Here is a 12,638-nt window from a genome sequence, read left to right on the forward strand (position 1 = left end):
AAGTACCACTAACTTCTTTAAAGTTTTCTTGCCAGCTCTGTTCTCTCCCTGGCTTTATCCCCTTTCTCTGGAAAATGAACATTTGCTCACCCGCCTCAGGGAACTGAAGGTTTAGTGTGATTGGAACAAAAACCAAATGATAATGGATTTTATAGGCCTTGTGTAGGTATTCTCTAGATGGAAGCAATGTGTACTATAGCCATAACATATTCATGTTTCATTTCACGCTATCACTTTGACTGCACTTTGGAAAGTGGTTTGGCCTTATACGTCTGGAAGCAAGAACAATCACTTAAGAAAGCTGTTGCAGTAAATCTAAATAGGATGACTATAGCTAGAACCAAGGAATGGGCACAGGTAGTGGAAAGACAGATTAATTATATCATAAGGATGTAGACTTGTTAGACCTTGATGGTTGAATGTGTTGTGAGATACATCCCTGCCTCCACCCCCTACTGTAAGGTTTCTGCTTAAGCAACTGGATGAATGATTTGTTGGTTAGGATAGTCTAAACTTTTGTAACAAAGAGAACCACAAAAGTTAGTGGCTTAAAGAATGAGAAGTTTATATATGTATTTCTCACTTAATAATCTTGAGTGGTGGCTGGGCGTGGTGGCTCACGCCTGTAATCCCAGCACTTTGGGAGGCCAAGGCAGATGGATCACCTGAGGTCAGGAGTTCAAGACCAGCCTGGCCAATATGGTGAAACCGCATCTCTACTAAAACTACAAAAATTAGCTGTGTGTGGTGGCAGATGCCTGTAATCCCAGCTACTTGGGAGGCTGAGGCAGGAGAATCGCTTGAACCCAGGAGGTGGAGGTTGCAGTGAGCCGAGATCACGCCACTGCACTCCAGCCTAGGTGACAAGAGCAAAACTGTCTCAAAAGAAAAAAAAAATTTTGAGCAGTTGTTGCTTACCCCTGTGCACAATTAAGATTATTTAACCATACCACCAAGTCAAATGGTGACTGCTTCAATACAGCTATTCAGAGAAGAAGACTGGAAGATCTGTCATCTTCTACACATGCCTTCCAATGCTGGTGCCAGAGGTGAGAAAAGAGGAGGGAGGAGAGTAATGAGCCAGGCCTAGAAATGGCACTTATCACACGTGCTTATGTTCCACTGGAGAGCACTTGGTCATGTGGCCACACCTAACTGCAGTGAGGATGGGAAATGTAGCAGAGCTGGACAGCTGCCATAGAAGGGAGGAGTAACAGATTTTTAGAGGGCAGCTATGAGTATCTGCCACGAATGGTGAGGCTGTTTGCTGAGACAGTAAAGAAGAACAGAGATGCATTTTTTAGCAAAAGGTAATAATGTAGGTACTTATAGGACTTCTAAATTTGCTTGTGTAATAAGAATGGGCAAGTAAGACAGCTGATCTTAGATGACAGCATCAGTTGGGAAAAAATTGGTTTTGTTTCTCTATAGCACTGTGATGATAGAGGAATTTAAAAGTTATTTTTCTTGGAAGATATCAAAAGGAGAAAAACAGGAGTTCAAATAGGGGGAAAGAACATGAGAGAAAAGATTGTGTTTATTGTTATGTAGTTATGTTATATGAAAGTATTAATAAGTTAGGCAATGCATATGTAGGGTGAGGAATTTAAAATAGCTGAGTGCTACAAAGCAAATAAAATAACGACTATAGTGTCAAAGTAGGGGTGGTAGTGGATAATTGGGTAATTTTCGTTAGGGGAGTTAAGATAGGCCTCTTTTAGGAAGTAAATTGGAGCTAAGACCAGAGTGATGAGAAAGGGAAAACTTAATGAAGACCTGGGCCAAGAACATTCCAAGTACAAAGGAGAAGGAACTCAGTACGGCCTGAGAACAGACTTGGGAGGTTTAAGGTCAAAGGTTGCCCAGTGTAATAGGAGGTAAGATCCTTGCTGTACAGTCTTATCAACTGAAGTAAAGTTTAAATTTTATTTGATTGCAGTGGGAAATCACTGGGCAGTTTTAAGCAAGCAGTTGATACCTGGTTTTATGCTTAATAAAAAAACTGAAAAGAAGTTAAGGGTAGCTGGGCATGGTGGTGCATGCCTGTAATCCAAGCTACTCCAGAGGCAGGAGAATTGCTTGAATCCAGGAGGCAGAGGTTGCAGTGAGCCAAGATTGCACCACTGAATTCCATTCAGGGCAACAGAGCGAGACTCTGTCTCAAAAAAAATAAATAAAATAATAAAAACAAAAACGGGCAGGGCGGGCGGGGGGGTGCAATTAGAGATGGAAGCCAGGAAACCAGTTAAGATATTGTTGTGGTCATACCAGTGAAAAGAATAATGGCTTGGACTAGGTATTTGGATTGGGGATCTATTTTGGATGTAGAATTGGCAGAAGTTGTTTGGAAATTTGAGGGAAAGATGAATCAAGAATGACACTTGGATTTTTGACATTAAAAGCTGGGTAGGTGTTAGAAAATAGATCCCAGATTTCTTTTGTAGGTTTGATAGATTTTTCTGCAATGGATTGTGAATGTCTTAAAGATGACATGGCATTTTGTGTATATGATGAATTTAGTTTACTGAAGACTCTCTTTGTCTCAAAACAGTATGAATTATAGTATAAAAGAAGTACATGGGGGGGTTGCCTTCAAGCAGGAAGAAAGAAGTACAGACTTTATCATATGTTGTTGGAAAAATGAAACATTTTAGAGCTGGTTTAGGTATTTCATTTTATATGATTTTTTTCACTTAGAATGGTCTTTAACAAAGGCAGCAACCCTGCTTTATAAATTTTAACTGAGATTATCTAGAACCCCCAAATACTTCAAGGATCTAGGATTTTGTTCTGTTTTTCTATATATATCTAGACCAGTAGGAGGTGGAAAACGTGCCAGCCAAGGGGCACACTCCTTATCACACTGCTTGGTTTGTTGTGGATACGGTGCAGCTTATCAGGCCTTAAGGTAGGGAAGGCCATAACCGTATCTCATCTTCCCTGCCCTCCATCTCTGGAATTCCTGGGATTGCTTTTTGTTTTTTGTTTTGTTTTGTTTTGTTTTTTGAGACAGAGTCTCGCTCTGTCACCCGGGCTGGAGTGCAGTGGCACGATGTCAGCTCACTGCAACCTCTGCCTCCAGGGTTTAAGCAATTCTCTGCCTCAGCCTCCCAATTAGCTGGGATTACAGATGCATGCCACCACGCCTGGCTAATTTTTGTATTTTCGGTAGAGATGGAGTTTTACCATCTTGGCCAGGCTGGTCTTGAATGCCTGACCTCGTGATCCACCCACCTCGGCCTCCCAAAGTGCTGGGATTACAGGCATGAGCCACTGCACCCAGCCTTCTTGGGATTGTTCAGAGGCAAAGTATTGGAATCTATCAATGAACAGATAGTCTTTGATCTCTACTCCGTTGACACTTCCTTGAATGTAAAAATAATTTTTAGAGTGTGGTACTTTTTGTTTTATAAAAAGTATGTATCAGTCTGAATGTTTGTTTGCTTCATAAATCAAAACATTTCCATATTTTTGAAATTACATCAGTGTTTTAAAATTCAACTTCCTAGATTAAATTTTACAGTTGAATGTTTTGTCTCAGTATTTTGCCTAGTTCTTATTTCTTGTCTAACAGAAACTAAGCATTTGGAAAGGCCATTAATTAGTACACGTTAAATATTTTTCTGTACAGTTAGAAATATATTTCATGTGGTTTTGTGTTTATTTTTGAAAATTTACTATTTTCACGTCTGAATTAATAAAACATTATAGCAATTAATAAAAAGTATATTCTAGTTTGCTAAGGTGACTGCTAAATATTGCATTAGATGATGCTACATATTGCTTAGAATTTGATATACAATATATAAAATAATCTTTTACTTATTCCTTTTTAGTCACCTGAATTTGTTTAGTTTCTCTACGATTCAACATACTTTTAATTTTTAAGATTTTTTAAAAAATACAAGACACTAAAAATATTTTTTAAAGTAAAATAAAAATTAACTATTTGTAGATAGATTTATATAAATTTAAACATTTCCTTGAGCCTAGTTATCCAGTTGCACTTTTATAACACCATTGTATAGGTTTGATATACTCATAGATCCTTGATGTGTTTGAGAAACTAGTTGTCATAATTTTTACAAATTTTGTTCTTCCACCCAGTAAATCATGTGTCATCTAAAGTTAGAGGGCAATATACATTAAGGTGCCTGACCTGTGCCCAGCATTGTTTGGGCTTTGTGTGTGGGGTTCATAATAAAGAATGTTACGAGGTTTTTTAACTTTCTGGGAAAATACAAAATAGGGAGTTAAGACAGGTAAGTATGATGTAAATTTAAGAATGTGAAGATAAATATATTATTAATAGAGATTAGACTTTATGAATATGCATCTTTTACTGTGTTGTAAAGGAAGTATAGCACTTGAATGAGAAAAATAGGGAAAGGATTTTATTAAAAGGGGATAAGGCAGCTGGGCACAGTGGCTCACGCCTATAATCCCAGCACTTTGGGAGGCCGAGGTGCGCAGATCACCTGAGGTCAGGAATTTGAGACCAGCCTGGCCAACATGGCAAAACCCTGTCTCTACTAAAAGTACAAAAATTAGCCAGGAGTGGTGGCGGGTGCCTGTAATCCCAGCTACTCAGGAGGCTGAGGCAGGACAATCGCTTGAACCCGGGAGGCGGAGGTTGCAGTGAGCTGAGATTGCGCCACTGTACTCCAGCCTGGGCGACAAGAGTGAGACTCCAGCGCAAAAAAAAAAAAGGGCGGGGGGGCTAAAGCATAAAGAGGTGAGCATAATTTTAAAGAATTACTAAGTTCAGTTTAACTAGAGTAGCTAAAATTTGAAAGACTTGCTCATTATGTGAAGATAAGTGATTCCAGTAAACAAGCAAAAATCACTGAGAAAAGTACATTAATAATGTTAGAAAAACCTAATCTTAATTTACTATTAAAAATATTCATCTTATTCTGTCCTCTTTTCACAGTTTTTACCAAAGTCAAATGTTTTTGCTAGCTTTGGAGCACTGTTAACTATAGTCCTATCTGTGGTAATGCTATAATGCCCAAATTGATAGTTTTATAATGCTAGTGCTTAAGTTATTTGGAGAAATTTGGCTGGATGGGGGCAGAGCAGGTCAGGCAGATCTTACACTGCCTGGAACTGCAAATCTATAGGTGGCAAGAGGGAATTGCTTTCTAAATTGAATGCTCCATTTCCTTAACAAGACTGGTCCAGGACCAAGCCAAGCTTAGGTAAATGGGCTTGGAATACAGCCTTTCTGGGGAATTTGCTATGGCTTTTGAGTCCTTGTGATTTGGAAAACATCTGGATATAAAGAGATGTTTATAGCTGATCTGAATATATATGTGATCTCCCTGAAGTAAGTAACTACAGATCAGCCGAAGAACCTCCTCTGACTACTTAGGATTCTCTTCAAGCGTGTCAATCAGCTAGAACGTGACCATTCTCTGAGCGTTGAACACTTTACATTGCCAGATAATTTGTGCTGTTTTCGTCAAACCTGACCCTAATATAACTTGACTAAATAATCTTGTCTGTGGCAAATAAAGAGGTAGCAGTATATTTATGTCCTCTTTTCGGAAGGTGATAAAGGAATTATTTGATAAAGTACGATATGTATTGCTACTTTGCAGAGTAGACCTCAAGTAGATACTTGAGTAGACACTCTGCATTTGTGTGCTTTTTTCTATTCACACACTACAGTGGGTATGTGAATCAGTGAAAAATTGCCAAAAATATGATCAATTGAAAACTTTTGTTAGGTGGTCTTTATTTGAACTATATCTTGTCATCCATTAGTAATTTAGCAAGATTTGATCAGAACCAGTCAACGCTCTTTAAATCAGTTAATCCCATTAAAGGTTTTTATGGAAAGGAAAAACAGTGCTCAACAATTGAGTTGATACTAAAGCTTTGCTTTGACCAAATTGCAGTTAATACCAGTAAACTACTTTTTTTTTTTGAGACGGAGTCTTGCTCTGTCACCCAGACTGGAGTGCAGTGACGCTATCTTGGCTCACTGCAAGCTCTGCCTCCCGGGTTCACATCATTCTCCTGCCTCAGCTTCCTGAGTAGCTGGGGCTATGGGCACCCGTCACCACGCCTGGTTAATTTTTTTTTAGTACAGATGGGGTTTCACCGTGTTAGCCAGGATGGTCTCGATCTCCTGACCTCGTGATCTGCCAGCCTCGGCCTCCCAGAGTGCTGGGATTACAGGCGTGAGCCACCGTGCCCAGCCTATCAGTCAACTACTTTTTGTTTTTATCTTCATATATTAAGGGAATTTTTAGTTAAACAGGTTGCCCTCACATACATTTTATGATCTTATATTAGATACCTTTGGATGTCTGTATTTTTTAGTAGGCAGATGAAAGTGTTTTTAGTTAGGATTATAGGGATTGCTTTAGTAAAATAATATTTCCTCAGAGAATCTGTCTTACTCCAACAAATACTAACTCTAAAGACTGTTTTCTGTGTTTTTTAGTCGGCCGTATACTAACAAGGTAATTACTTTATGGTACCGTCCACCTGAACTGCTACTGGGAGAAGAACGATACACACCAGCCATTGATGTATGGAGCTGTGGGTAAGATAGCCTTATTTACTGGTTTATTTTACTTGAAACTTTTGGTAGTGAATTAAAATAGATCATTTGGTAATGACGGGTATTTTTTCCATTAGCTGTATCCTTGGCGAACTCTTCACTAAAAAACCTATATTTCAAGCAAATCAGGAACTTGCACAACTAGAATTAATAAGGTAAGCTGCTGATTATAATATTGGTGGGAATTGGGAGAGTGTCATACTCCACAGGAAATTTAAACTCTCCCAAGTTTGTCTTTTCAGGAAGAGAACAACATGGTTCTCTGGAGGGCTTATGACTGCTAAATGGAGGACAAACTGAAATGTAGGCACTTTGATACTTGTTCCAGTGAAATTAAGGATATCAAAGCCCCTGGGTGGGTGCATGTGTATGTGTACATGCGTGCGTGCATGTGTGCGTTTTTTTAAGTCAAAGGACTTGAGGCCCAAAAGATAAGACTGGCAAGGAAGAGTAAATGTAGGAGAGAATGAATGCTAGATACATATTTTTTAATTATGAAAGAAATGAAAAATTCATGTTTTGGGGTATTGTTTAAAAATACTCTTGTAAATACACATAAAAATATGTGTCTATATATGTGTGTATACACACTAAAATACATGCATATACCCCCTAGCGTAGACCTTCATTATTTGGAGCCTATCATAGGACCTAGTTCATAAGCAATTACTCATACATTTTAGTCGCTTTTCTCTTTATCTTTTATTTTATTTTATTATTTTATTTTTTTGAGATAGAGTCTCACTCTGTCACCTAGGCTGGAGTGCAGTGGCATGATCTCCACTCACTGCAACTTCTGCCTCCTGGGTTCAAGCAATTCTCCTGCCTCAGCCTCCCGAGTAGCTCAGATTACGGGTGCCCACCACCATGCCCAGCTAATTTTTGTATTTGTAGCAGAGACGGGGTTTCACCATGTCGGCCAGGCTGGTCTTGAACTTCCAACCTCAGGTGACTGCCCCCCGCCTCGTTCTCCCAAAGTGCTGTGATTACAGGCATGAGCCACCTCATCCAGCCCGTCTTATATTTTAAAATAATTTTAATTTTAAAAATGGGCTTTGGCCAGGCACGGTTTCTCACGCCCGTAATCCCAGCACTTTGGGAGGCCTAGGTGGGTGGATCACCTGAGGTTGGGAGTTTGAGACCAGCCTGACCAACATGGAGAAACCCTGTCTCTACTAAAAATACAAAATTAGCCCGGCGTGGTGGCCCACGCCTATAATCCCAACTACTTGGGAGGCTGAGGCAGGAGAATCATTTGAACCCAGGAGGCGAAGGTTGCTGTGAGCCGAGATTGTGCCACGGCACTCCAGCCTGGGCAACAAGAGCGAAATTATGTCTCAAAAAAAAAAAAAAAAAAAGGTGGGGGGGCTTCAGTTTCATATGTAATAATGTAAACGTGCAACTTATAAAATTTCCATGAAAGTTTCAAAATATATATGAAGTTTTTTAGGAAAGATATTGATAGGGGGTACAGATTTACAGAATTTTACTTTACCAACTGAACAAAATGAACATAAAGCAACAAATAGTAACCAGAGAAGGACCTCAACATCATATCATAAACAGACAAATTGAATCAAACTAAAAATCTTACTATTGCCCTTTTTGGTGGTTAGGCAAGGTTTTTACTATAGGGTACAGCAGGGAAAGATGAGTGCCCTAGTTAGAGCCTGCTTCTTCTCTGGGGATAACTTGGCTATAGTCAGAAGTACCCGAAGCCAGAAACTAGTAGTGCTTCAACTCCAAAGCAGCCAGTTGCCTCACTTTTAATAACATTATGAAAAAGAAGAAGGGAAGGGAAGGAGTTCACCTGAAACATAGAAAACTTTTATGTTACTTTTTTTTTTTTTTTTTCCTGTTTTTTGAGACAGTATCTCACTTTGTTGCCTAGGCTGGAGTGCATTGGGGCAGTCATGGCTCACTGCAGCCTTGACCTCCTGGAGCCAAACAATCCTCCTGCCTCAGCCTTCCAAGTAGCTGGGACCACAGGCATGCACCACCATGCTGGGTGATTTTTTTTTTTTTTTTTTTTTTTTTTTTTTTTTTGGAGACCGGCTTTCTCTATGTTGCCCAGGCTGGTCTCCAACTCTTGGACTCAAGCGATCATCCTGTCTCAGCCTCCCAAAATGTGTCATACCTTTTTAATTGTGCAATAGACAAGTAAAAAGGGTTAAGAAGAACTGATACTCTTGGAAAAAAGAAATATACCTTTCAGTGCTAATTGGGCATTTACAAAAGTTAGTTATATATTAATAGAGGAAGGAACTCCAAAACGTTGAAATACTATAGGCTAAATTCTCTAAAATAGAATAAAACTAGAAATTAATATAAACATGGAAACAACAAAGTCTCTTAACTATCTAAAAATTTACATATGCTAAAAAATCCTGGATTAAAGAGAAATCAAACTTTAAGACAGGGTTGTCCAGTCTTTTGGTTTCCCTGGACCACACTGGAAGAAGAATAGTTGTCTTAGACCACACATAAAATACAGTAACACTAATGATAGCTGATTGATAGGCTAAAAAAAAAATTCCAAAAAAAAAATCTCATAATATTTTAAGAAAGTATGAATTTGTGTTGGGCTGCATTCGAAGCCATCCTGGGTTGCATGCAGCCCATGGACTGCAAGTTGGACAAGCTTGCTTTAGAACATCTAGGTTTAAAAAGAGTGATAAGTATAAAAATCCATGGGCTAATAACCCTGTGCTTAGGAGAAAATCACAACCTTAAATATACTACTAAATAAGAAAAGGAAAGCAAATTAATTAAGCATTCTACAGACAAACTAGACAAAAGCAGCAAAATAAACCCAGGAAATAAAAATGAATTATAATACATAAAATGTAAAATTTATGAAGAAACCTATGATCTGGTCTTGGGTTTATTCACACATATATGCAATATAAATTAGTCTACTAGTTTAACTTCATATGAAAAGAGAGTATAAAGAAATTAAAAGACTGAATGCGGTGGCTCATGCCTGTAATCTCCGCATTTGGGAGGCCGAGGCAGGATCACTCGAGCCCAGGAGTTTTAGACCAGCCTGAGCAATATAGTGAGAACTTGTCTCTACAAATTAAAACAAACAAACAAAAACAACAACAACAAATTAGCTAGTCATTGGAGGGTGAGCATGTGGTCCGTACTACTCGTGAAGCTGAGGTGAGAGGATTACTTGAGCCCAGGAAGTCGAGACTGCAGTGAGCTAATGACACCACCGCATTCCAGCCTGGTTGACAGAGTGAGACCATGTCTCCAAAATAAAAAACCAGCCCCATTATTTTCTTTGATAAATTATTACACATCTTTTAGAAACCAGTACTTGTAATGTTCTTTAAACTATTCCAGAACATAAGAATAATTCAGTACAAGCTTTCTTATTCAGTCTTCTCTTGAAGAGTCTTATTAGATTAATTGATGCTCTTCATTCCCTCTGTAAAGAAAAACTGGCTTGATAACATGGCAAGCTGAATGCTTGTAGCTAGTAGGCTGTCACTTTCTAGTAAGACTATGTATTTATCCCACCAGTTGAAGAGTATGCTGAACAGGAGGTAGTTGTTAGTTTTCAATTTTTATGCTTTTTATTATTATAATTACATAGTTTAAGCGTAGATACAGTGCTTTACAAAAACTTTAAGACATTGCTGTCTAATTAGGGATGGACAAGTAATTGTGTAAGTTAGAAAAGTTATAAAAATCCAAGATGTGGTATTAGATTGCTTTGAAAGTGTTTTTAATTTCTAGATTTATTTAAAGAAATCAAAACTAAAAATCCTTGATGATGTGTTATGGGTGTGGTTTGTACAAGAGAGCTAATACAGAATTCCATTCAGTGAATCCTCTGTTTAAAGAGAAAGCCTTGGCCTTTGTCAGAAGATGGGAAAACAAATGTACATTTATAAACTTTCAGTTAAAATAAAATGTTTAAATTATATATCTGTGTATCTTTTTTTTTAAACGATTCCTTCTAACCTTTTTTTTTTAAACGATTCCTTCTAACCCATTTTTTTTTTGTTAAACCCAACCAGCCAACTCTTGGTCCTGATTGTATTGGAAACTAGGGCTTCTATTAAAGATAGTTAACATCTATTTAGTTCATATACAATATCAGCATTATTCGAAGAGTTTCACTTGAATTATCTCAGTTAAGCTTCGTAACAACCCTATGTCTTCTCTTTATAGTTAAGAAAACTGAACCTTAGAGAGGTGAAGAATTCGTCCAGGGTCATAAAACTAGCAAGTGGCAAAATTGAGATTTAAACACTGCTAGGTGTTACCTTAGGATCTAAACTTTTAACCATTACTCCAAAGTACAGGCTGGGTGCGGTGGCTCACGCCTGTAATCGCAGCACTTTGGGAGGCCAAGACGGGTGGATCACTTGAGCCCAGGAGTTCAAGACCAGACTAGGCAACATGACAAAACCCCGTATATACTAAAAACAAAAATTAGCCGGGCATGGTAGCACACACCTGCAATCCCAGCTCCTTGGGAGGCTGAGGCATGAGAATTGCTTGAACCTGGGAGGCAGAGGTTGCAGTCAGCCAAGATCGCACCACTCCACTACAGCCTGGGTGACAGAGTGAGAATTGGTCTCAAAAAATAAATAAATAAACTACATAGGAAATAAAACTACCTGGAATCTTTTCTTTTACAAAATCAATATGACACACATATCGGTACTTGACAAAGACAACATGAAAAATTTTATAAGATATTAGGCCGGGAACGGTGGCTCATGCCTGTAATCCCAGCACTTTGGGAGGCCGAGGTGGGAGGGTCACTTGAGGCCAGGAGTCTGAAACCATGCCTGGCCAACATGGTGAACGCCCCCATCCCCCATATCTACTAAAAATATAAAAATTAGGCTGGGCATGGTGGCTCATGCCTGTAATCCCAGCACTTTGGGAGGCTGAGGCGGGTGGATCACTTGAGGTCAGGAGTTTGAGACCAGCCCGGCCAGCATGGCGAAACCCTATCTCTACTAAAAATACAAAAACTAACCGGGCGTGGTGGTAGGCGCCTGTAGTCCCAGCTCCTCAGGAGGCTGAAACACAATAATTGCTTGAACCCAGAAGGCGGAGGTTGCAGTGAGCCGAGATTGCTCTGCCGCGCTCCAGCCTGGGCGATTGAGACTGTCTCAAAAAAAAAAAAAAAGAAAAATTGTATAAGATATTAATCCAAGAATTCTAAGGGAGGTACTAGCAAATAGTATCCAGCTTTTTATCACAAAGTTAACCTGCAGAAAAATGATGGGAGCTAAGATGATACAGAGGGTCAAGAAAGGTATCTCCCTTTAAGTGACATTTGAGCAGAGATCTGAATGAAGAAATGGCAAAGTAATAAAGACTCTGAGGCATATTTGGTTTTTTTTTTTTAGGAATATGTTCTCAGTGAACCATATGGGGGGAAAGCTTGGTTTATCCATTTTATAGCATGCTGTACTGTTACTAAGAAGGAAATAGTTGGTCAGGCACAATGGCTCACGCCTCTAGTCCCAACACTTTGGGAGGCCAAGGCGGGCGGATCACTTGAGGTCGAGTTCAGGACCAGCCTTGCCAACATGGTGAATCCCTGTCTCTACTAAAAATACAAAAATTACCTGGGCGCAGTGGTGTGTGCCTGTAATCCCAGCTACTTGGAAGGCTGAGGCAGGAACATCCTGCCTCAGGTAGCTTGAACCTGGGAGGCAGAGGTTGCAGTGAGTCGAGATTGTGCCACTGCACTCCAGCCTGGGTGACAGAGTGAGACTATGTCTCAGAAAAAAAAAAAAAAAAAAAAAAAAGGAAACAGTTGATTTGGAGATAAAGAAATGGAAAAGCAGCATGAATAGTTACAGAAGGCTATATTGAGATTGATCTCATTTAGGTAAAACAAAAGACTCAAATTGTTAATCTGAACATGGACTTTCAAGAAGACTAGGGAGGAGAAATTTTCATTTTCTAGTTTATATATTTCAGCATGTTTTTATTTTGTTAAGATACTTATAATTTTATAAAGAGATTGACCGGGCACAGTGGCTCACACCTGTAATCTCAGCACTTTGGAAGGCCAAGGCAGGTG

The 12,638-nt window shown here is 39.1% G+C and overlaps 1 protein-coding gene across 4 annotated transcripts in view; it reads left to right on the forward strand.

The window, feature by feature from the left end:
* Positions 1-12,638, forward strand: part of CDK13 (cyclin dependent kinase 13) — a 149,325-nt gene that overhangs the window by 106,116 nt on the left and 30,571 nt on the right. For all 4 annotated transcript variants that reach the window (XM_017012750.3, XM_017012751.3, NM_003718.5 and 1 more), the window contains 2 exons: positions 6,455-6,556; positions 6,652-6,729. In XM_017012750.3, coding sequence (XP_016868239.1) covers positions 6,455-6,556; positions 6,652-6,729 — 180 coding nt within the window. The remainder of the gene's footprint in view (positions 1-6,454; positions 6,557-6,651; positions 6,730-12,638) is intronic.

Source organism: Homo sapiens, chromosome 7, assembly GCF_000001405.40.
Source record: "Homo sapiens chromosome 7, GRCh38.p14 Primary Assembly".
NCBI classification, from domain to species: domain Eukaryota; kingdom Metazoa; phylum Chordata; class Mammalia; order Primates; family Hominidae; genus Homo; species Homo sapiens.